Source organism: Homo sapiens, chromosome 8, assembly GCF_000001405.40.
Source record: "Homo sapiens chromosome 8, GRCh38.p14 Primary Assembly".
NCBI lineage: Eukaryota > Metazoa > Chordata > Mammalia > Primates > Hominidae > Homo > Homo sapiens.
The window spans coordinates 101,387,020-101,408,680 of NC_000008.11; the positions used below are offsets into that span (position 1 = coordinate 101,387,020).

Below are 21,661 nucleotides of genomic sequence, written 5' to 3' on the forward strand. Positions count from 1 at the left end.
ATCAGGGGCTCCACAAATAGAAGAAGAGGTGTTAGCATCAGTGGAGACCCCATGAAGCTTGGGAATATCAAAGACTGTGATGCAGGCATCTCTCCAGGAAGCTGGAGCAGCACAGGACGGGAGGAAGAGAGTGGATGTTGTGTAGCCCATGTTCATGAACACATGTGAGATGCTTGCTGGAAACAGCTGGGAATGTGGTGAAGCCTGACTTTAAAGGAGAGAAGTCTACAGTTTCTTGTGTTAGTTCAGGTCCCCCAAAAAGTAGACACTAAGTCAGGATTAGATGAGCAAAGCATTTATTGAGGGCACTGCCTGTGAAGGAGAAGAAGGAAGAAGCCAACAACGCTGGGAAAACCATCAGACCATGATGTAGGTCTGACCCCTGTGAAGGAGGATTAAGTAGGAAGAGTCTCAGACTGTAGCCTTATTCCAAGAAAGTTTCAGCCAGGCTTCTGGGGAGTTCTTGAGGCAGCATCTCCTGGTTGAGGAGACCCAGGTCCTGCAGGAACGCCACCATGTTCAATCATTGGCTGGGAAGAGAACATGAGAAATCTGGCCTTGGTACAACGTGCAGAGGGACAATGTTGGAGCCATCAGACAACATCCCACTGCAGGAGATGAAGCAGCTCCTCTTAATGTTCATCACAGTTTCATGCTAGCAGATGGGACCCAAACAGGGAAATACTTGTTATAGTTTGTGAAGCCATATTTTGAACCCTGGATCTGTGCTGATCTAGATGAAGAAACTTGGGTTGCAAAGGGTTAAACTTTTTGGAACTTAAATAATTATACTCTTAGCTTTCAGAAATCCTTCATCCAGAACTATAACCTTCTTCCTCTGTGATACCCTTCTTCCTTGTGATGCCTATAAACTGAGGCATGTCTAGAGTGGGGTATATTAGAACGCATCAAAGAGGTCCTGGAATTGCCAACAGCTTGTGCAGAGGTCATCAGAATGAAATTTTTCTGGTCTCGGTATATTGAAAGATAATAGATTGCTTAAATGTGTCTAAATGTACATATGTTGGCTAGCGAGACAGAGGTGAGGATATATGAAAGAACCCAGGTAACAGATGAGAAGCAATCAACACCCCCTACTCCAGCCACTCAGAAATGCCAAGGGTTTGAAAGTTGTCTGAGGATTCAAAAGTTGTCTAAATAATAGAAAAACTGCTCAGCATGTCCAAAATTCCAGAACATTGGTGGCCCCTCCCCTAGAAAGGATTTTAACGGACTGAAAATCTGGCCAATATGCATTTACGATGACACCATTTGTCTGGACTGTCAATTCAAGAATTATTTGTTAAACTAGTGCTTCAGCCACAGCAGGTTGAGCATGTTTACCAACACACAGCACCCCGGGGGTTACCCCTGGAAAGTGAGAGAGGTAAACATAGGGCAGGTAAAAGGAAGTGCCTAGGTGGTGGCAACTTACTGAACCTGTTATATCAAGAGGTAAAGACAGCCAAAAACATAAATAGCACCTCTATTAAAAAGCTGAGATAAGTTTATGCCTGATAGATCACTAGCTGTGATTTAAAGGTGTTCTTCTTTAATCTTTTGAGGGTGACATCAGAGAGATTATCCTGTTTGTCCCACAGCATAATCTACTGGGGCCTCTGTAAAAACCAGATTGCTGGATCAGATGTACAGTGGTTATAATTTAATGATTCTCAAGTGAATGAATGAATGTGAGGAAATTCTAAGGCAGCCATTTGTACTAGGCTTAGCTCATCACATTTTTATTTGTGGTGCAGGGCTCTTCAGACAAGAAGACAACTTCATGAGCACTGCCCACGCATCTTTACCTGCTTGGCTCTAGGGCAGTTCCCTTTTATGCAGGGTATTGAAGCAGAGGCTGGAGCTCCTGGAAGAACTGAGGTTGTCTAAACCCTATCCCAACTCAAAGAAACAGGTAGCTCTGGTTGGAGGGATGGGGGTTTGAGAGATGAGTGGAAACCGCAGGTGACCTGTGTCCATCCTCCTTCTCTGTCCCCATTGAAATCTCCAAGGCCCCAATTCAGGGCATGATGTGAGAACCACTGTGGCCAAGGAAATCAGTCTACTTAGAGTTGGACTAGATGACTAGTGGTGTCCTTCCAGCCCTAGGACTGCATAGTTGGCTGTGTGACTCATGCCACATATGTCAGTCTGAGTTCTCTGGTAAACACAGATTGACCTGTCTATAAGGCAGCATGGTGAGCTGGATAGAACATGAGCTGTGGAGTTAGAAGGCTTGGGCTCCTCTGGTCTTGACTCTGACATTTTCCAGGTGTGTGACTTTGGCAAATAACTTCTCCAAGACTCAGTTTTTTGGCCTTTGAAATGGGGAAAATAACATCTACCTCAAATAATTGCTGGGAAGCTTCAGTGAGATGCCCACATGGTCTTGGCAGAGACAGGACAGACCTGCACACACACACATTCTCTAGGAGCTCTTGTCTGGTTTCCGACACTCTTTTGTATCTTGGCTCCCCACATTCCCCTTAAGGCTTCTGCCTTTGGCCACCCACTTTGTTTATACCTTTGGAGCCCAATATCATTGGATCCTAGAGACACAAGCCTTATAGTCACCCTTTAACTCAACCTACAACCATGAGTGTAAGGCACCAGGACACTCCTCAGACTGTCCTTGCAGACTCTAGCTGCTGGAGAGGAGATTGGTTGGAGTCTCCAGGCCCCAAGGCCCTCTTGGTTTCTGGCCTAGCTCAGAGTTGGCTTTTCTGCTGGAACTTGGGTTCTGAGCCTTCCCAAAACTGAGAGAACATGTCGTGGCTTCACGCTCCACACTCCAAAGCTTTCTGCCATTTAGATCCAGGCAACTGAATTATTCATCCCAAATAAGCATTGGTTCCGACCACAAGCCACTGGGGGAAGTTTGCAGAGAATGGCATGTACAGAGAGGACCAGACATTAGCTGGGACCCAAGGGTAAGAAGACAGATTAGGCTCACCCCAAATGAGCCATGACTGCATAGAACAAAAGGAAAAGGCACAGAGGATCCACTCCTCTAGCTAGGCATGATGGCATGCATCTGTAGTCCTAGCTACTCAGGAGACTGAGGTGTAAAGATCCCTTGAGCCCAGAAGTTCAAGACTACAGTGAGCTATGATCGCACCATTACACTCCAACCTGGGTGACAGAGCAAGACGCTGTCTCTAAAAAATAAATTTTAAAAGAGAGTGAAAATCCACTCCAGCTATGAGCCTGGAAAGCAACAAAATTTTAAGGAGGAAAGAGCAGTGGCCCGAGAGTCGAGAGAGCTAAGCTCCTATCTGGCTTGACTAGAATCCAGCTGTGAGTTACAGCTTCTTGATTTCCTCATCAGTAAAATGAAGAGATTAGATGAAGCAATTCTTATAGGAATGAACCTAGGAATACAGGGCCCTGAATTTCCTGCATTATTTATTCTCTAGTGTCCCACCCATACAGGCACATGGGGAAATGGATGGAAAGCCAAGTCTACCAATCTGGCTTACTTGGCAGAAGAGATCCTCAGTTCTTAAATCTAGTGGAAAGAATACCTTGGACTTATCACAAAATGTGTGCTAAATAAGGCGCCACTGATACCTACAGTACATGTTTTTATAATTCCTTAATCTCAGGAGACTGGCTCCCTTCTCTTCATTGTGAAGGAGTCAGCAGGTGTGAAAGGGTGCAGGGTACCAAGTTATAGAGAGAGCAGGTTTGTCAAGCCCATCGGAGTGGAAACTGGGTAATTTGATCTGGGAATATTAGATAAGCAAACAGATCTGTTAATGGTAGAAAACAGTACTGGTTCCACAAACTAAGAAGGGAGATTGGACCAGACATAAAGTCACCCTTTCCTCCTCAGAGGCAATGGTTTCTACCTTATTATTGATAAATATGAGACTGGCATTTACCTCTTACGTGGAACATGAGGCAGTATGGTGGCAGTGAGTTCCACATGTCGAGAAGCCTGGCAGCAAACAAGAATAACAGAATTTAGCAGAAAGAAGGTGAGCAAACAAGAAGCAAGAACCCCAGTGATTCTGAAGTAGGGAATCCAGGGAGCACCTTCTGGGCTTGCCTGGAGGGTTTTGGGGCAGGCAGGATTGGCCCTGGAGTCCTTCTCACTGGCGTCTCACTTGGCCTTTCTAATGTGTATGAGGAACTTCACTGGATCAAATCACTTACGTAAAAACTTTTTATATTCTGTGTGCCACATAAGCATCTTATATCAGCCTTCCTGTGTTGAAGGCTGTCTTCAGAAGCTTTCTAAAGGCAGAACCAACCAATTAATGATGATGATGATGATGATGATGATGGTGATAATGATATCTAAGTGCTGGAAACTCTCCCAAGCACTGTAAGTATATTTTTTCATTTAATCCTCACAACAACTCCTTGAGGTAACTATTATTATCATTATTTTACAGTAGAGAAATTGAAGCTCAAAGAATTGAAGGAATTTACTCATGGTTACAAGGCTACTTGGTGGTGAAGCTGGGACTCCAACCCAGGATTATTTGCACCCAAATCCATGCTCTCAGTTAATATGCCATACAATGCAGCCAACAGTGAACAGAAGGCATTTGATGAACACTTACCAGTGACCAACATCTCTCAAGCACTTTACCTCTAAAATCTCATTTAAATACAGTAGTCCATAAAGTAGGTGCTATTATTATTGTTCTTATTGGCATTACAGGAGAAGACAAGGAGGCTTGACAGGTTTAGCAACCTGTCCAAAGTTACATGGGAACGCAAGCTTGTCGCATTGCATTCCCTAGATTTTGGATGCAACCCTGGGCAGCTTGTCACTGAGTTAAACTGAGACAGTAACGTCCTGACTCTCACTGACTCTGCAGCACCTGTATTGTGTGTTGTAAATAATCCAATTTTCCAGGGTAAATCCTATTTGGTAAGTTCAATTTTATTTCATTTTATTTATTTTATTTCATTTTATTTTTTTGAGATGGAGTCTCGTTGTGTTACCCAGGCTGGAGTGCAATGACGTGATCTTGGCTCACCGCAACCTCCGCCTCCCGACTTCAAGCGATTCTCCTGCCTCAGCCTCTGGAGCAGCTGGGATTACAGGTGCCCACCACCATGCCCGGCTAATTTTTTGTAGAGTATTTTTAGTAGAGAGAGGGTTTTACCATTTGGCCAGGCCGGTCCTGAACTCCTGACCTCAAGTGACCCGACCGCCTCGGCCTCTCAAAGTGCTGGGATTACAGGCATGAGCCACTGCGCCCAACTTTCAACTTTATACTTTAACTGCCTAAGGCCCTTCCCACAGGGGTAATGTTTGGTACGTAGTGGACTGCCAACAGTTTGGACATTGGAGCAGTTTCATCTCACCCCTACTTATGCTTGGGTTTGGAATATTTATTACGCGCTACCGGGAACTTCCCAGGCAAAGGCAATCTGCCCTGTGTAAATTGAAGGGGGAGGAGCTTTATCCCCACATGGAACTTTGTCTAAAGCTTTTCAAAACTGCTATGTTGCCAATGCAACATTTATTTTGCTCCTATTTAACCTCTTGCCAGGAGGTTAGTAGGGGCCAACCTCAGAACAATGCTGGCTCTTATAAGTTGAGCCTCTGTGTCATAAAGGGCTTTAGGATTTCCTAACACTAGACCTCCATCTGACGAAAGTTCTAGTCTAGTCCAGGCTTCCTGTCCCCAGACGTTGTATTGCCTCACCCCTTCCAGATCTGCACTTTTGAAAAGACCCACTAAAGCGTTTCTAATGTCCACCTCCATTTCCTTCAGCAATTGTGGATATAGGCTTCCTGGAGTGTTATCAGTATGAAGAATCTCGAGCAATTTCTGATGTAATCTACCCCTTCCCAAATCCTCCTCACCAGCCCATTGTCATTTGATTCCAGATTAAGAAAATATCAGTTCTTCCTCACAAATGGTGTGGGGTGCTGGAAGGGTTTCATGATATCTTTGTCCTTATCTGTTGTAGAACACATTATCCTTTGGCATTTGAGGAAGAAATTACTTTTGCATCCTTAATCGTGGCTTATTGTTAATTGTTTTTGTTCCTTTGTATGCTTCAAAATGGCTATTTGCCTCTTTCTTCCTATAACTATACCTTGTCTTTAAGAACCAGGACCTTGGCCAAGTCAGTTCACTCAGCATTAATGTCCTCATCTATCAAGCAGTTGGATGAGACCAGGGGCCAGCAACCTTTTACTGGAAACGGCCAGATTGTAAGTATTTTAGGCTTGTGGCCCATATTATAGGCTTGTCTCCATGGCAACTACTGAACACTGCCATTGTCGTGTGAAAGCAGCCGCAGACAATACACAAACAAGTGAGCCCGGCTGTGTTCCAGTTCAACTTTATTTATGGACACTGAAGTTTAAATTCCACATAATTTTCATGTTTCCCGAAATACTATATTTTTCCAACCACTAAAACTTGTAAAAAGCCATTCCTAGTGTGTGAGATACACAAAATCAGGCAGTGGTCCAGATTTGGCCCTGGACAAAATGATTTCCTCCTTATTCAAAGTATCATGACACCCCAGAGCCAGAGGGGGCCTTAGAAACAGACAAGCACGGTCACCTTGTGAGCTACAGAAGGAAACCGCAGCCCAGAAAGGTGAAGTGACTGACACACACCTATGTAGCTGGCAGGGCAGTAGAAGCTGAAGTCAGGCCAAGAGCCTGACAATAAAGTCTACGACAGTGCGTCCCTCCAGCATTGTCAACACATACGCTGGGCTCCATTTATTAGCAGAATGAGATCATTTTAGAGTTACAAGTTTGGGAATGACTCTTTACTCCTGCCTGGAAATAGCATTTTATATCTTTGTATTTCAGTAAAAACATGATTGTGAGCACTTTGTCTGAATGAACATAGAAACTCCTCACTTTGGTAAAACTCCAAAGAATTTTTGTTGTTTATGATTTTTTTGTTGTTATGATTAAGGCCAAATTAGACAACAGCTTAAATCAAGCCAGTGCAATTTACAGAAGCCCAGCATTTTTCAGGCTAGTCAAGTGATATAGAAAACCAACATTTGTGATACTTGAACTGAAAAGAATTTAAGTAAATTTATCTTGAAAATTTGGGGGGATGAATTGGACTAAAATATTAGATGGAAGAGTAATCACAGACACACACATACACACACACTCATACACACACATACACTGAAATACACACACACACACCTACACACATACACTCATGTACACACATACATTCATACACACACATACACACACGTACACACACTCACATACACACATACAGACTTACATACACACTCACATACACACACACACAGAAGGGAAAATTTTGGTTCATCCCCCTCCAAAGACTGGTAAAATTAGCAAGAATAAATTGAACACTAGGTGAGCGTGGTGTAGTGTATGCCACCTCTGTTCTCCCAGGAGCCCTACAAGGTATTAGTGATAAATAATTGTTTATTGCAACAAGATGGAGTCAATCACAGTGCAGGCACCTTAAACTATGAGGCTCCATTTTAACATCTGTCAGTCATCATCCAAATGGATTGACCAGGAAACAAGATAGATCACTGCAAAAGCCTGCTTTCTGCCCCACTCCCCTTTTGCTTGCTAAAAATGGAGAAAGTGTTTTGGAGGGCTGTGTGTGTGTGTGTGTGTTGCTGTGGGGGTCAGGCAGCTGCTTTAAAAATTCAGTGCTTTTCCTTCCATTTTGGTGACCAGAAGGGTGGGAAGCAGAAGTTGGAGACAAGAAGGAATTTCATAAAAACAGCCCATCAAAACAAGTTTTAGGATGGTAGTGGAGGGAGGAGATCACCCAGAAAAAGACGGTTCCAGGAATTCCCATCTGGAACTTGGTTTATACTTCTTGAATATTCACACTGTTTCTTAACTTCCAGGAAAGTCTCTGCATTAGCAGCCAACTCTGGCAAGCACTGTCTAGGGATCCAGGGAGATTTATTGCAAAGAGAGAGATGAGAGATGCCTTGTGTAGCTTTTCAGATGGACCACATCTTCTCATGTCATCATGCAGGCTCACTCTCCTTCCTGAACCCTTCCCTGAGCCTTTTGCACTCACACCTGGGAAGAAAGGGGATTAGAAGTTCCAGCAAAAACAGCCGCAAATGATGCGTGTTAAGGCCTCTATCTACCAGACAGGAAGGCGGCAGCATAACTAGTCAGGCCCTTGTGATTCGGGGATTCAGCAAGAGGCACTAAGGCTCCCAGACAAGAGTCTAAGATCCACTGTTATTTGTGGAACCCTGATCCTGCAGGTTGCTAAGCCATTTTCCCCCGTTCCCCAAACTTTGCAGGAGCTTAAGGCTTCATCACGCAAAAGGAAAGGATCCCTGCTTTACACTTTGCAGAGTAGGAAATAAATGGCTTAGCTTTCCTTCTAGGATAAAGAAGATTTGGACTTGGTCAGTCATCTCTAATATAATGGCATGCCTTCCCTGTTCCCTTAACTACACCCACCATGCAGTCCATTCCTGAAAAGGAGATTCTAGGCGTTCCACATCTATTGATACAGAAGTCCTGTGCTTTCTCACTTTCTGCTCGCCTAACTCTGTTCTTGGACGTACTGAATTCCTAACCTCTCGGTATTGTCTTCCTTTTCCTACCCACTTCTAATCTTTGGACCTTTATTCATGTTTGTTTATTCACTTATTATTGATTTCTACCAACAATATGAGTGCTGTCATGTGTAAATGCTGTGCCAAAGATGTATGTGATGGAGAACAAAACAAAGAAGGTTCCTGTGCTCTTATGATTTACAGCCTAGCAAGGAGGAAGACAGTCAATAAAGAATTATCCAAGCACTTACAGCCTTCTGAAGTGGTGAGTGCTGTGAAGGCTAGTGGCTCACTAAATATAAATAGAAAGCCTATTAGTGCCAGGCTGAGGACAAACAGGGAACAAGACAGAGCCCCTTCTCCCATCCCTATTTTCATGGAAACAGACCTTTAATCAAACAATCACACTCATGAATGGTACAATCTGAGTATCTAACAGGGGAGCTTAACATATGCCTGAGAGTGATTGGGTGACTTCTGGGAGGAAGTGGCACTGAAGCAGAGACCTGCAGGTCAGGTAAGAGGTGATGGAGCCCTGCTAACTCTCTTGGCTTCTCTGCCATGTACCCACCAGTAGGTGTGACTCCGGGCACCTCTCCACGGATGTGAATTCTGCACCTGCCTTTTGCCTTTATCTGGTCTTGCCAATAGACCACACAGACTAGTCCAAATGCTCCCTAGGACTACACCAATGCATGAGCCTACCTGACCAGCATCCCTGGCCCCTGACAGTGGGTATTGACATGTGGGACTGCCGTGGCTTTGCTTACCACCTAGCGTGGGCCCTGCACACAGTACCACTCACTAAATAGTAATATTGAATATAAAGTAATTAATTTCAGTTTATTTGATAACTGGCTCCAGTTGTTGATGGGTGGGGCCTCTTCTCAAATTATTCCCACATTCCTTTGCTCTCTAGGAAGAACTTCCTGCCAGCACGCTGCTACCTGCCTTAGTTATTACTATCCACAAACACAAGGCCAATCATTGTATTGTATTTTAGCTCTGGGGTGGGTGTCTCACTCATTTGGTGAACCTGAACCCCACAGCAGTCCACTCTTCCTTGGCCTCTGTTGAAGCTGGAGGAACAATAGGGCTCCATTAGTTTGTCTGTAACAGCAGAAAGGACAGGGAGTGAGCAGGTGCACAGAAGCATGGCTGCTTACTCAGGGCAGAGCTTGGGTGACAAGTCCTCCTTCCCCCATCACTGTTTATTCTTTTCAGTTCTCACTTGCCTGAAGCATTGGCTGGGCTCGGTGAGCTAAGAAAAGTATTGAGCCCAGAGGAACACAAAGTTCTTGCTCCAGTTGCCCCAGTGGGTCTCTGAGTAAGCCATTTAATGACCTGTTGTTCCTCACTGTGAAAGAAGAGTCATAGGACAACCTTTAAACTGGCCTCCCTGGGAGGTGGAGGGGAATCCTCATTAAGGTAATTTGAAAGTATTTAGCAAAGATGAAGTTCAGGGTCAGTGCTCAGTGTGGTTCCTAATAAAACCCTCGGTACTTTCAGAAAGAGCAATGCTGAGGGAGGTCCACGTGCCGAGAGAACAGGCACAAAAGAGGACCAGGAAGGGGCAGGGCCTGCCACAGGAGCCGGCCACATGTGCCCAGCCTTTTCTTACATTTCAGAGATTTCATGGCAGTGTTCCTGCAATGGGAACAGGCTGAAAAATCTGATCATGCTCAAGTAGTCACCCAGTTCTCATCTTGGGCTTTATTGTGGGACTGTAATTGGTGTCCCTGGCCAGAAGGTAGGTGTCCTCTTTGATTTTAACAACTACTTCCTCTGATGGCCTTCTTTGGCCCCAATTCTTGAGTGAGTATTTTCTTCCTTTTGGACATAAAATCTGTGATAACTTGGGAACATCCGGGAAACCACCCCAGCTGCTTGGGTGTGAGCTTCAGGAAGAAGAGTTGCATTAAATTGTCTACATGATATAGCCACATTTTAGAATTAAAATAGAGAAAATTAGGGGGAAACATACATGGTCCCATTAACCTAACACATTATTATTATTACCACTTTGGTGTATTTTTCCCATCTTATTCCCAAATGTGTTTTGGGTTTTTTTGTTGTTGTTTTTTTGTTTTTTAAGATATGGGCTCCCACTGTGTTGCCCAGGCTGGAGTGCAGTGGCTATTCCAGGTGCGATTGCATGACTGCTCAGCACGGGAGTTTTGACCTGCTCCGTTTCCAACCTGGACTGGTTCACCCCTCCTTAGACAATCTGGTGGTCCCTTGATGCTGGGAGGTCACCATATTGATGCCATGATTAATGCAGACACCAGGTAGACATAGCTCACGACAGTCCAGAGCACCTAGGCTCAAGCGCCCCTCTTGCTTCAGCCTCCTGAGTAGCTGGGACTACAGGTGCACACCACCAAACTCAGTCCAAATGCTTTTTTTTTTTTTTTTTTTTTTGAGACAGTCTCACTCTGTCACCAGGCTGGAGTGCAGTGGCGCGATCTTGGCTCACTGCAACCTCTGACTCACTGGTTCAAGTGATTCTCCTGCCTCAGCCTCCTGAGTAGCTGGGATCATAGGCACGTGCCACCATGTCCAGCTAATTTTGGTATTTTTAGTAGAGACAGAGTTTCACCATGTTGGCCAGGATGGTCTCGATTCCCTGACCTCATGATCTGCCTGCCTCGGCCTCCCAAACAAATGCATTTTTTTTACAGTGCTATCATAATGGGCATTAAAATCAGTGTTCTGTTTTACTTTATGTTTCTATCTAGTCATCATAGAATCTATTTGAAGTCTAGATATTATTTATTGAAAAATAGATTGGATTTATCTTAATTGTTCCTTAGATTTTGCATTTTCTTGCATCCAGTCTTTCACTAGTGGACTGGCACTGGACAGATCAGTGTTGTATGAGATCCATGGTATAGTTCTAGGAAAGGGCCTGAGTCACGTGGCAGGGTAGCTCTCTCTGCTGAAGCTGGCTCGTATCAAGGGTGTCTTCTTGGGCCTGAAGCTAATTGCATGTCAGTCAGGCAATGCTCCATATCATAGATAAGATTCTGGTTGCAAAAATCAGTATCTCAGTAGAGTTAAATTTACCAAGAAAGGGATGTTTGTAGTAAAGACAAAGAGGTATTTGATGGCATAGAAGAGGGTCTCCAGGCAGGCCTCAGGGAGGGCCTGGACTTGCAAAGCCATCAGAAGCCTGTCCCATTTCTCCTCTGTACACACATCTGCTTCATGCTCTCTCTATATATATAGTTATATGTATATACCTAGTATCTTCTGGAGGCCAACCCTGTTACTACTATGAATGATGTATCCCTCCCCCTGTCCAAGACCAGCCCCTCCAACTGTGCCCTGCATCCTATTCCTTCTCACCTTCTCAAGGACATGACTCCTGAAACTCTCCCCTCCCTCTCTTGCATCTCAATTTCCTCCATCATTCATGTCATTTTGCTTGTCGGCAAACACGTTCTAGTATCTTCCAACTTAAAGCAAATAACAAACTACCCTTAGCCCCATGCCCCTCTCCATTTAACATCCAATCTCTCTGCTCCTCTTGACTGACCTCAAAAATCTCAAGAGAATTGTCTGTACTGCTGTCTTCATTTCCCTATCCTTCCTTCTCTTCTCAGTCTTTCTAGTTGGATTTGCATCCTTCCAGTTCCACTAAAATTTCTCTGGTTAAGATCACGATGACCTACATCTGCCACGTCTGTATCCTCCTCTAACCCAGCCTTTCAGAAATATCCCATATGGCTGGCTCTTCCTTTCCTGAAACATTCTCTTCTCTTGGACTTGAGGATACCGTGTATACTAGATGCTCTGGTGTGCTACCGAGATCCCTGCTGCAGGACCAAGGAACTTGTTGCTCTGGCTGCCAGCTTTGTTGGTGACTGACAGCTCAGGGCTAAGTCTATCTCCAGGAATTGCCCTCAGATGGAGGAAGCTGACTTGACTAAACTTACTCCCCTGTTGCAAGAATAGCCTGCACCTAAGGACTGGTTGATACCGAGGTATGAGTTCCAGCTCCCCCATCTCAGTTTGGGACAATTCTAAAGGATCATGCCAGTTCCAGAGCTGCCCTTTGGATGGGCTGAGGCTCCACTGTAATGGGATCACATTTCAAGCCTCTCTCTGTCCCATCCTGCTCCCCTTACTTCCTTATAGGTGCTGTTCCTGTGGCTTTCCCAAATCTCTCTCTCTCTCTGTCTCTCAAACTTTGTTCCCAGGGACCTGCCCTAATATACCGAAGTCTCCTGGTTTTCTTACAATCTCATTTTCTGTTGCCTGAATGTCTCATAAGTTCATTTAACTGATTATTTTTTCTGTCTCAACAACTTTAAAATACCTCTTAAATTTTTTATTTGACTTTATATTTTGACCAGCTTAGGTTCATAGAAAAATTGAGCAGAAGGTACAGAGATACCCCGTCTACCCCTGCAGCCACACATGCTCAGCATCTCCCAATGTCAATATTCCTCACCAAGTGGTACATTTGTTGCAATCAATGAACCCGCATTGGCACATCATTATCACCCAGAGTCCCTAGTTTACATTAAGGCTTACTGTTGATGGGCAATCTCTGGGTTTGGGCAAAGGTACTATGGCATGTATCCACCATTACAGTATCATAAAAAGTATTTTCACTGCCCTAAAAATCCTCTGCACTCTGCCTATTCATCCCTCCCTCCCCTAACCTTTAGCAACCACTGTGACCTTCTCCAGACTGTTATACTATTGAAATTGTACAGTATATAGCTGTACAATTTCACATTGTCTTCTTTCCCTTAGTAATATGCATTTAAATTTCCTTCATGTCTTTTCATGAAAATACATTTTTCTTTCTCCCCCTCACTCCTTCTGTTCTCCACCTTCTTTTCTTTGTTTGTATTATCTGGCTGTTACACAGGTGCTAAATAGAGAGCTGATAAGATAGTGGTCCCACTCCCTAATGGTTTTTTTTAGTAACAACTACACTTGCCAATGACTGTGTTCAAGTTTTCTGAAATCTAAGGGAGAAGGAAATTACAGAATGGATTTTATCCACTGGGTCAAGTGAAATTAATGCAGCAGCAACTGACTCATTTATTCTTCCATAATTAAGTAAATAGAATTTACCCATGGGTGCAAGTCTGAAGACTTGATACACCAATCAAACCAGTAATTGTGAAATTATGTATGTACTTTGCTACTATTTTGTTGTAAGTACATTTCATTCTTTCTCTTGATTCAACTCAAAAATAAAGAAATAAAAGACCAAATGTTTGGATTTGCCACAGCTGTAAACTTCTCACTGCGGAAGGGGGTAGTAGAGCATTTTTTCACAAAGAGCTTCATCACCTGAGACATCAAGAAGAAACTGGATTCCTAGACAATTGCATCCAAATGAGATTACCTAGATAATCAGAAATTACATAATGTACATTTTGTATCCTGTTGCATATTAAATGTACATATACAACCAATGTTGGTCTCTTAGTTTGACAAACATACCGTGGATAGGTAAGATGCTAACATTAGGAGAAGCTGGATGAAGAGTATAGGAGACCTCCATGCATTATCTTTGTGACTTCTCTGCAAATCTAAAATTGAGAGTTTAAATAATACAGTTTCATAGGTAAGCTCAATTTGATTCGTCAGCTGTTGAGAGAACGTACCTCAGTGTTGTTGAAATTGGGTGTTTGGTGACTCCAGCCCTTCAGAGGTTAATGGTGAACACTGAAGTCAGAGAAAAGGTCTTTGAGCAGTTAATAGCTTTTGTAAACTTCTCATATATAAGGCAGAACTATCTTCAGGCCTGCTGGCAGCAGGTGTGCATGAAAATACTGAAAAACTGGAAACTGCTGAGAAACATGGACTACAGCAAGCAGGAAAGGAAACTACGAAAGGAGGCTACCAAAAAGTGCACAGCTGTTTGGGGGACATTTGGTATAGCGGAGAACGATTCTATACACTTTAAGAAGTGAGGCTGAATTGTAACACATATCTCAATGGAGGGCATTCATAATGATGTTCTTGGATGACAAAGAAAGGTTCAAGCTATTTTTGGCTTAAGCAGGAAATACTGCTTAAAATTTCTGCTCTTTTCTGCTCGGACACCTTCAGAAATGCAATGCAGATGGGAGAGAATGGGCTTTGCAGTTGACATCCCAGCCCATCTGACCTTGGGCAAATTCCTTAGTCTTTTGAGTCTTAGTCTCTCCATCTATTAAATAAAAATAATGATACATATCCTGTAAAGATTGCTGTGAAGATGCCATATTAGAATCTTTATAAAACAGCTAGCAAAAGCCTGGCACTCAGCAGGTGTGAAAGGTTCAGGGAGATAAAAAATGCACTATCTGAGATTAAGTCCAGCTGCTCAGATCACCTCTCTGGCTGCAGCACTTTAAGCCCCCCTCTGCATTCTGTCTCTGAGGACAGGATGGATCTATGTGGGTCAGGTCAATGACATTGACAGGTCACAGTGATCAGGATGAAAATTATCTGGTGAAAAGCCAATAGGTTATTAAAAGCTCTGGCATCTTTGTGGTCCTGCCTTTTAGGCTTGACTTTGTGTCATCTTCCCTCTGCCTCCTTTCTCCCTCCTGGAGACCCCATGAGGCTAGTAGAGTAGACAGGTCTGGGGCCCCCACTGGCCTCCAGCTCCAAGAAGGTTGCTCAGGCCAGCTCTGCTCTGAACCTTCAAGAGAAGCACTTTTTCAGTAGACAGAGTTTTCTTTTGAGTAATCTTTCCTGATTTTTCTTACCATAAAAGTAATAACCTCTAGAGGGCCAAGATCAGAGGTAAGGAAGCTATTAGCCTGGTCTCAACCTAGGCCCACTGGGCCTGCCTATTCTGGAAAAGAGATTCTTCTGCTCCATGAGGTCCATCCTCATCCAGGGCCAAAGGTCCCAGCTGGTCATCTGCACAGCTCCCAGAATCCTCAGTGTAGGCAGCTAGTGGAGGGTTCTCTCATGACTAAGGGTCCTTTAGGCCCCTCCTACCTGCAGTCATTACTTGACTCCCTAGAGGGTAATCTTTTACCTGCTCTGGCTTTTACGACCAGTCCATATCCCTGGTCTGGGCTGAGCCCTGGCTTCTCAGTGTCCCCATCCCCATACTGTCCTCTAAGCCATGCCTCCAAGGACCTGATATTGGCCTATTGCTTTGTGTCTGTTTCAGTTCCCTGGTGAGAAAAGCATACCCTACATCATAGAAAAGTCTCTGTTCAAAAGGACTCAAAGACAAGAAATGATGCTCAAACAAGAAGGTACCAGGTATCATTAAAAATCATAAGTATGGGCCAGGGATACAGTGGCTCATGCCTGTAATCCCAGCACTTTGGGAGGCTGAGGTGGGTGGATCATGAGGTCAGGAGTATGAGACCAACCTGGCCAACATAGTGAAACCCCATCTCTACTAAAAATAAAAAAATTAGCCGGGCATGGTGGCATGAACCTGTAGTCCCAGCTACTTGGGAAGCTGAGGCAAGAGAGTTGCTTGAACCAGAGAGGGAGAGGTTGTGGTGAGCCAAGATCATGCCACTGCACTCCAGCCTGGGCAACAGAGTGAGACTCCATCTCAAAAAAGAAAATCATAAATATGAGCTGTCATGTGAATCAAGACATAAATGATGACAGTAGTCACGCATATTTTTTCTGACTGTCCTTGCATGAGTTGGAGATTTAGAAAACAGAACTTTTTGAATTTGGCCTGTTTTCCTTGAAAGTGCCCATCTCATTCTAGCTCTTGCCTGGCTATTGATTTCCTGAGGCCCTGCTCATATGTCCCCACCTGCCTCATCCTGGGACTTAGATCTGAGGAGATCAGCCACTTCCCCACACACTTAAAACCAATTTGCGGCTGCCGGGCCCTCATTTGTGATCACAAATGTACTGTGTCCTTTCAAGTCTAAAAATAGGGTAATAATAACCCATAAGATTTTGTTGATAGCCAGTGTCCTGGTTTGAACTACTTATAAAACAGAAGGCAACATCCAAACAAACTGAGCCATGAAGTTGTGGGTCTCATCTCCTAAGGAACTGGTGACATTCAGCTCATCTCCTTTCTTGGAAGGAGGGACAGGTTCCCTCACGTCCTCCCCTCTCCCCTGTCAGTTCTCTTCCCATAGTTTAGTGGCTTCCTTACTCCTGACAGCCCCTTTCATTTGCCCCTTTCCTATCAGGTTCACCCTTCATGGTGTGACCTGTCCTCCCCTCCAAACGGTTGTTGAGCACTTTGGCCCCCAAGGGTACTCTTGCCAACATCCCAACATCTACCTCGCATTAATCAGAACCAGACTAGGCATGGTAACTAGTCCGGAAGGGGAGAGTGAATAGACATTTTTTTTTCATTTTCTCTTGAGGCCTAGTGTGGATAAATGATGCAGGAAGATGAGAATTCTGTCTCAGCCAAGCAGTGGGCAATTGTCAGTGCACATCGGAAAGGTGAACCCAATGAAAGGCTTTGGGACATCAAGCCCCACAAGCGAAATATGAACCTATAGGAGAAACTAACTAGAAACATGAAGAAATCACTGTGTACAGTTCAGATGCTAAAAAATAGGGCAAACCAAGGGGAGAACACATTTGTCTTCAGCATTCCTTTCTTCACCTTCCTCCATGCCTTCTTTACCAGGGCTCGAGCCCCTGCTTGGCTCTATTCCACTTGCCTGAAAGCTGGTCCCATAAGCTCGTTCTCACTATGGGAATAGAGAACCCCAAACATTTGGTAGTGCTTGAATCAGAGGAATGATTAATGGAGAATTGAAAAGATCCTTAGTGTTTATTTATTTAAATTGAACATGGCCCAGGGAGATGGAGAGTGGGACTTAGTTACTGCAGGCTGACTGCTGTTGGTTTATTCTGTGTACCTAGTTGGCCCAAAGAAAGGGGGCAGCCTAGACACTTGCAGAGACATTCTGGGCTGCCAAATCATGAGGGTGAGACTCTCTGAATCCTTAACCATCTTCTTTTCATCTTCAGATGCTTAGATGCCTGAATAAAGGCAAGGTTCGACATGGTGGAGATACCATCATGGCTAAGACTCTTCTCTGTCCTTGAGGATCTCATGGTCGAGCAGGAAGCAGACAGAGAGGTTCATTTTCTATGAATGGTTCAGCAGGACTAGCTCAAGATAGGACAATCATGGGAAGAATAGAAAGGGAGACAACCAGATGGAAAAGGACTATCGGAGGGTCCTCTTCTCCAAGTTATCCTGAGCCTGGCTCAAGAAGTCATAAGTCCTGCCCATCTGAGCCTCCAGAGCTCCACCCAGGTGGGAGGATGGAATAGGGCAGAAACCCAGCTGGTCCCCTTCACCTTTCTTGGGGAAGCATTCTTTTGGGAACGTCACCTTCCCTTCCCACAAGTCCCCCCTGCCTTTTCAGTACATAATCCTTAGGCTTCCTGGCCCTAAGGCCTGCTGTGATTCTGTTGAAGGCCAATTGACCCTCTCCTCGACACTTGAACTAGAATTCTTTAGGGAGACACCAGGGCATTTTATCAGAATGTTCTATACAAAGGCTGAGCAACAACTGTGTTTGGGTAACATTACCAGGCTGTCAGCACCAGCCAAATGCTTGGTCTATGGTGGCCAGAATTTGGAAGATGGATAAATCCATCATGCCTCCCTCCTTTGTCTACATTGGCCTCTGGACAAAATGCAAGATCCTGCAGTTCCTTGAACTGTTATCCTACAAATACTCCATGCTTTCTTCTTGATTCTTCCTTTCACTATCACTACTGACCTTCCTTTCATGTGCCTTTGGAAACATTTATTTATGGGGATCAAACTCTTCTGCATCCGCTACTTGATTTGCACAAAACTTCCTCTCCTTTCTTAGCTAAAACCTGGCTCTCTCCCAGGGACTACTTTTTGCTGTCCATTTAGGGGAAGATGGCTCCTCTGCCTCCCCCATTTGCTGCCTCAACACTCTCAAGCAAACCCCTCCTCCTTTCAGACTTGTGGCATTTGATCTGGCTCTCTGGGACTCATTGAGGTCATCTGTAGATTATCCACTCATTTCCTTCCAGTCATTGAGGACTTTGTCTTCTGGCTCACACTTTTCCTTTCCCCCTAAATTCTACCATCATCACAGGGAACTGCCACATCACATGTCTAAATAGCTTTGTAGACAACCCATTCAGCATCCTAGCATCCAGGTTTCCGACGTCCTCAGTCCCAGCAGTCTTTCCCGTACAGTTTTAGTAGCCTGCCTTCAGGACACACTGGAGAACTTCCATCCCTCTTCCCTCCTTCACTCCTTCCCTCTTCCCTCTCATCTCCCTCTCTCCCTCCTTTCTTTCCTTTCTTCCTGCCTTCCCAGATTTATTGAAAGTCTCTGCTGAGCACTGTGATCAGCATAAAACTCCAACAGCAGGAGACAAAAAGGCAAACTCATAGGTGTATCCAAGTGTTCTTGGTCTGGGATAGTAGCCCCTCAGTTGTTCTTCCTCATCTGTGTGGAGCCAGAGTGCCCACCCAAGTTCTAGCGTTCTTGTCCTCCCCTGCCCTCTCTATTATACTCACTTCCTGGTGCTATTATCTGGTCTGAAGGCTTTACGTATCACCTTATACTAACACCTCCCAAATTTGCATTTCCAGCCTGAACCTGTTCCCTAAGCTCCAGTCTTGTATGTACAATGGATGGCTTGACATCACCACATAACATATCTCAAAACAAATTCTTCATTCTCAACTTTCCCGTTTACCTCCCCATACCTCCAATGTGCTCCTCCTCCAGGTTTCAGCTCAGTAAAATGGCAACTCCCTCCTTCCAAGCTCAGGAGAGAACCTTGGGGTCATCCCTGTCTCCAATCCTTCTCTCACATCCACTTTCAATCCATCAGAAATCATGTCGATTCTACCTCCAAGATACATGCTGAATCTGACCACTTCTTTCCTTAGATTTACCACCTCCACCTTGCCCAAGTCACCTGCATCTCTCACTTGGATGTTTGCAGATGCCCCCTGACTGCTCTATGGCACCCATACTTGCCCTTCTGCAGTCTATTCTCAACACAGCAGTCAGAGGGATCCTGCTATGACCTGAGTCAGGTCCTCTCATTTTACTACAAATGCTCCCATGGTTTCCTGTCTCACTTGCTGCGGTGGCCTTCAGGTCATGATCAGCCCAACCCAACCTCACTGCCTTACTTCCTGCTGCTGCCTCCTCATGGCCTCACCAAGCATACTCCTGCCTCACAGCCTTTGCCCTTGCTCTTCTCTTGGGATAGGACACGCTTCCATCAGAAATTTACTCAGCTCCTCTTTCCATTCCTTCATGCTTTTACTCCAGCGTTGCCTTAGCAGGAAGGTCTGCCTTCATCACCTGATGAGACCAAACAACCAGCTGAGCCCACCTCCCAAAATGTCTCCTGCTTTATTGCTCTCCTTACCACCTATTGTTGTCTAAAATATGCACTTATTGGCTTGGTTTTGGTCTCATCCACTAGAATGCTAGCTCGATGAAGTCAGAGGCCATGTCCCCTTGATTTACAGCTGCACCTCCAGGGCCACGGACAGCAGGCACTCAGGGGATGTTTTTGAATGGCTCAGTGGATAGAAGTTAATTGGGGCACTGTAAGGAATCGTGAGGTGCAGTGGTCATCTAGATCTAAAATTCTCATTTTCAAGCCTTCCTTATCCATGGAATCCTTCATTTAAGTGAAACCAAAGAGTTGAAGGGGCAGAGGACAGTTGGGGAATCTGGAAGCCCATTCATTGGTTTCCCCTTTCATTTTGCAAGGAAGTCCCCAACATACCTTGGCTGAACCTGTAGGGTCTGAGGAGCACAATTTGAAGACCAGTGATCTAGGAGATAATATTGTGAGTTTATAGTGGTTTAGAGACTGTTTGTCCTTTGGCTATGATTTTAGACACATTATATGTGTTCTTTTACGACGTTCTCTAATTAAATACCTTTATCTCAAAAGAAGTTCACCCTCCTTCTGAGGAAATAGAATTTATTTTGTAACAGTCAACTTTATGATGTAGTTTTCTGGAACACAATGTAGTAAAAAGCAGGGACTTTTTTTGGCAAGGCATCATTAACAAGGATCAAGGAGAAATGCTTACATTTGACTTTTTGGTAATCGGTGAAGAATAAAAGAACTAGATATTCATTTTCCAACAAACATTTATGAGAGACTCTCTTGTGCCAGGTACCTGTGGGTGCTGGAGATTCCACTGAGAACAAGGATGGGAGTCATTGTTCCACGAAGCTTACATTTCAGAGGGCCAAGAAGATAGAAGACACTATATGAATACATGAATTATTTATTTTCAAATACTATTGTATTCTGTAAAGAAAGTAAATGAAGACTACGTCATAAAGACTGACTTTGGATTTGTCAAATAACCATAGACTTATTCACTGTTCATTGTCATAGAATGACATTGAACTTATTCCAGCTAATTTCCAGATCTCAAGGCTGAATAGTAAAATCCAGTGTTCGGGATGATTGTCTAGAGAAGCTGAAATATTACATTATATTCCCTATCCTCATTTTTGAGAAAGAAGGGAGTAAAAATAGGCAGGAGAGAGGAAAAAAGGAGGAAGGGAAAGATTAAGAAACTATGTTCTAGAAAAACATTTTACAGGGTAGAGAAAATCTCATCAACCAAAGCATGCCCCTACTAAAGAATTCCAGCTAGTCAAAAATTCACTGTCCATATTAAAGCTGTGTCTTATTGCTTTGACTATTTAGCTAGAAAAACTAGGAAATAGTGTTTATATTTAGAGTCTTTACTTTTTTTTTTTTTTTTTTTTGAGACAGGGTCTTGCTCTGCTACCCAGGCTGGTGTGTGGTGGTAAGATCATAGCTCACTAGAACCTCGAACCCCTGGGCTCAAATCAGTTCAGCCTCAAATCCTTCCACTTCAGCCTCCCAAGTAGTTGGAATTACAGGTATGACCCACCATGCCTGGCTAATTTTTAAAACATTTTTTGTAGCAACGAAGTCTTGCTATGTTGCCCAGGCTGGTCCTGAAATCCTGGTCTCAAACATTCATTCCACCTGGGGCCTCCCAAAGTGCTGGGATTACAGATGTGAGCCACTGTGCCCAGCTATTTATTGTATTTATTTTTCCTGATTTTAAAAACATTACCTTCCCTTTTTAATAGAGGAAATTCCACAGTGGTTTTTATAAATATTGTTTTGAATTCAAGTATATATCATT

At 44.1% G+C, this 21,661-nt stretch overlaps 2 long non-coding RNA genes and 1 pseudogene across 2 annotated transcripts; 1 reads left to right on the forward strand and 2 right to left on the reverse strand.

Annotated features, from left to right (window-relative positions):
• Window positions 1-279: 279 nt before the first annotated feature.
• Window positions 280-6,227, reverse strand: LINC02845 (long intergenic non-protein coding RNA 2845). Its single transcript, XR_928471.2, has 3 exons — window positions 6,067-6,227; window positions 3,885-3,940; window positions 280-530 (listed from the first exon to the last, which is right to left on the reverse strand). It is a non-coding gene; the product is annotated as a long intergenic non-protein coding RNA 2845 (long non-coding RNA).
• LOC107986897 (uncharacterized) lies at window positions 6,101-21,216 on the forward strand. Its single transcript, XR_001745730.1, has 3 exons — window positions 6,101-6,184; window positions 15,662-15,756; window positions 20,644-21,216. It is a non-coding gene; the product is annotated as an uncharacterized LOC107986897 (long non-coding RNA).
• RN7SL563P (RNA, 7SL, cytoplasmic 563, pseudogene) lies at window positions 10,617-10,905 on the reverse strand (annotated as a pseudogene).
• Window positions 21,217-21,661: the final 445 nt, after the last annotated feature.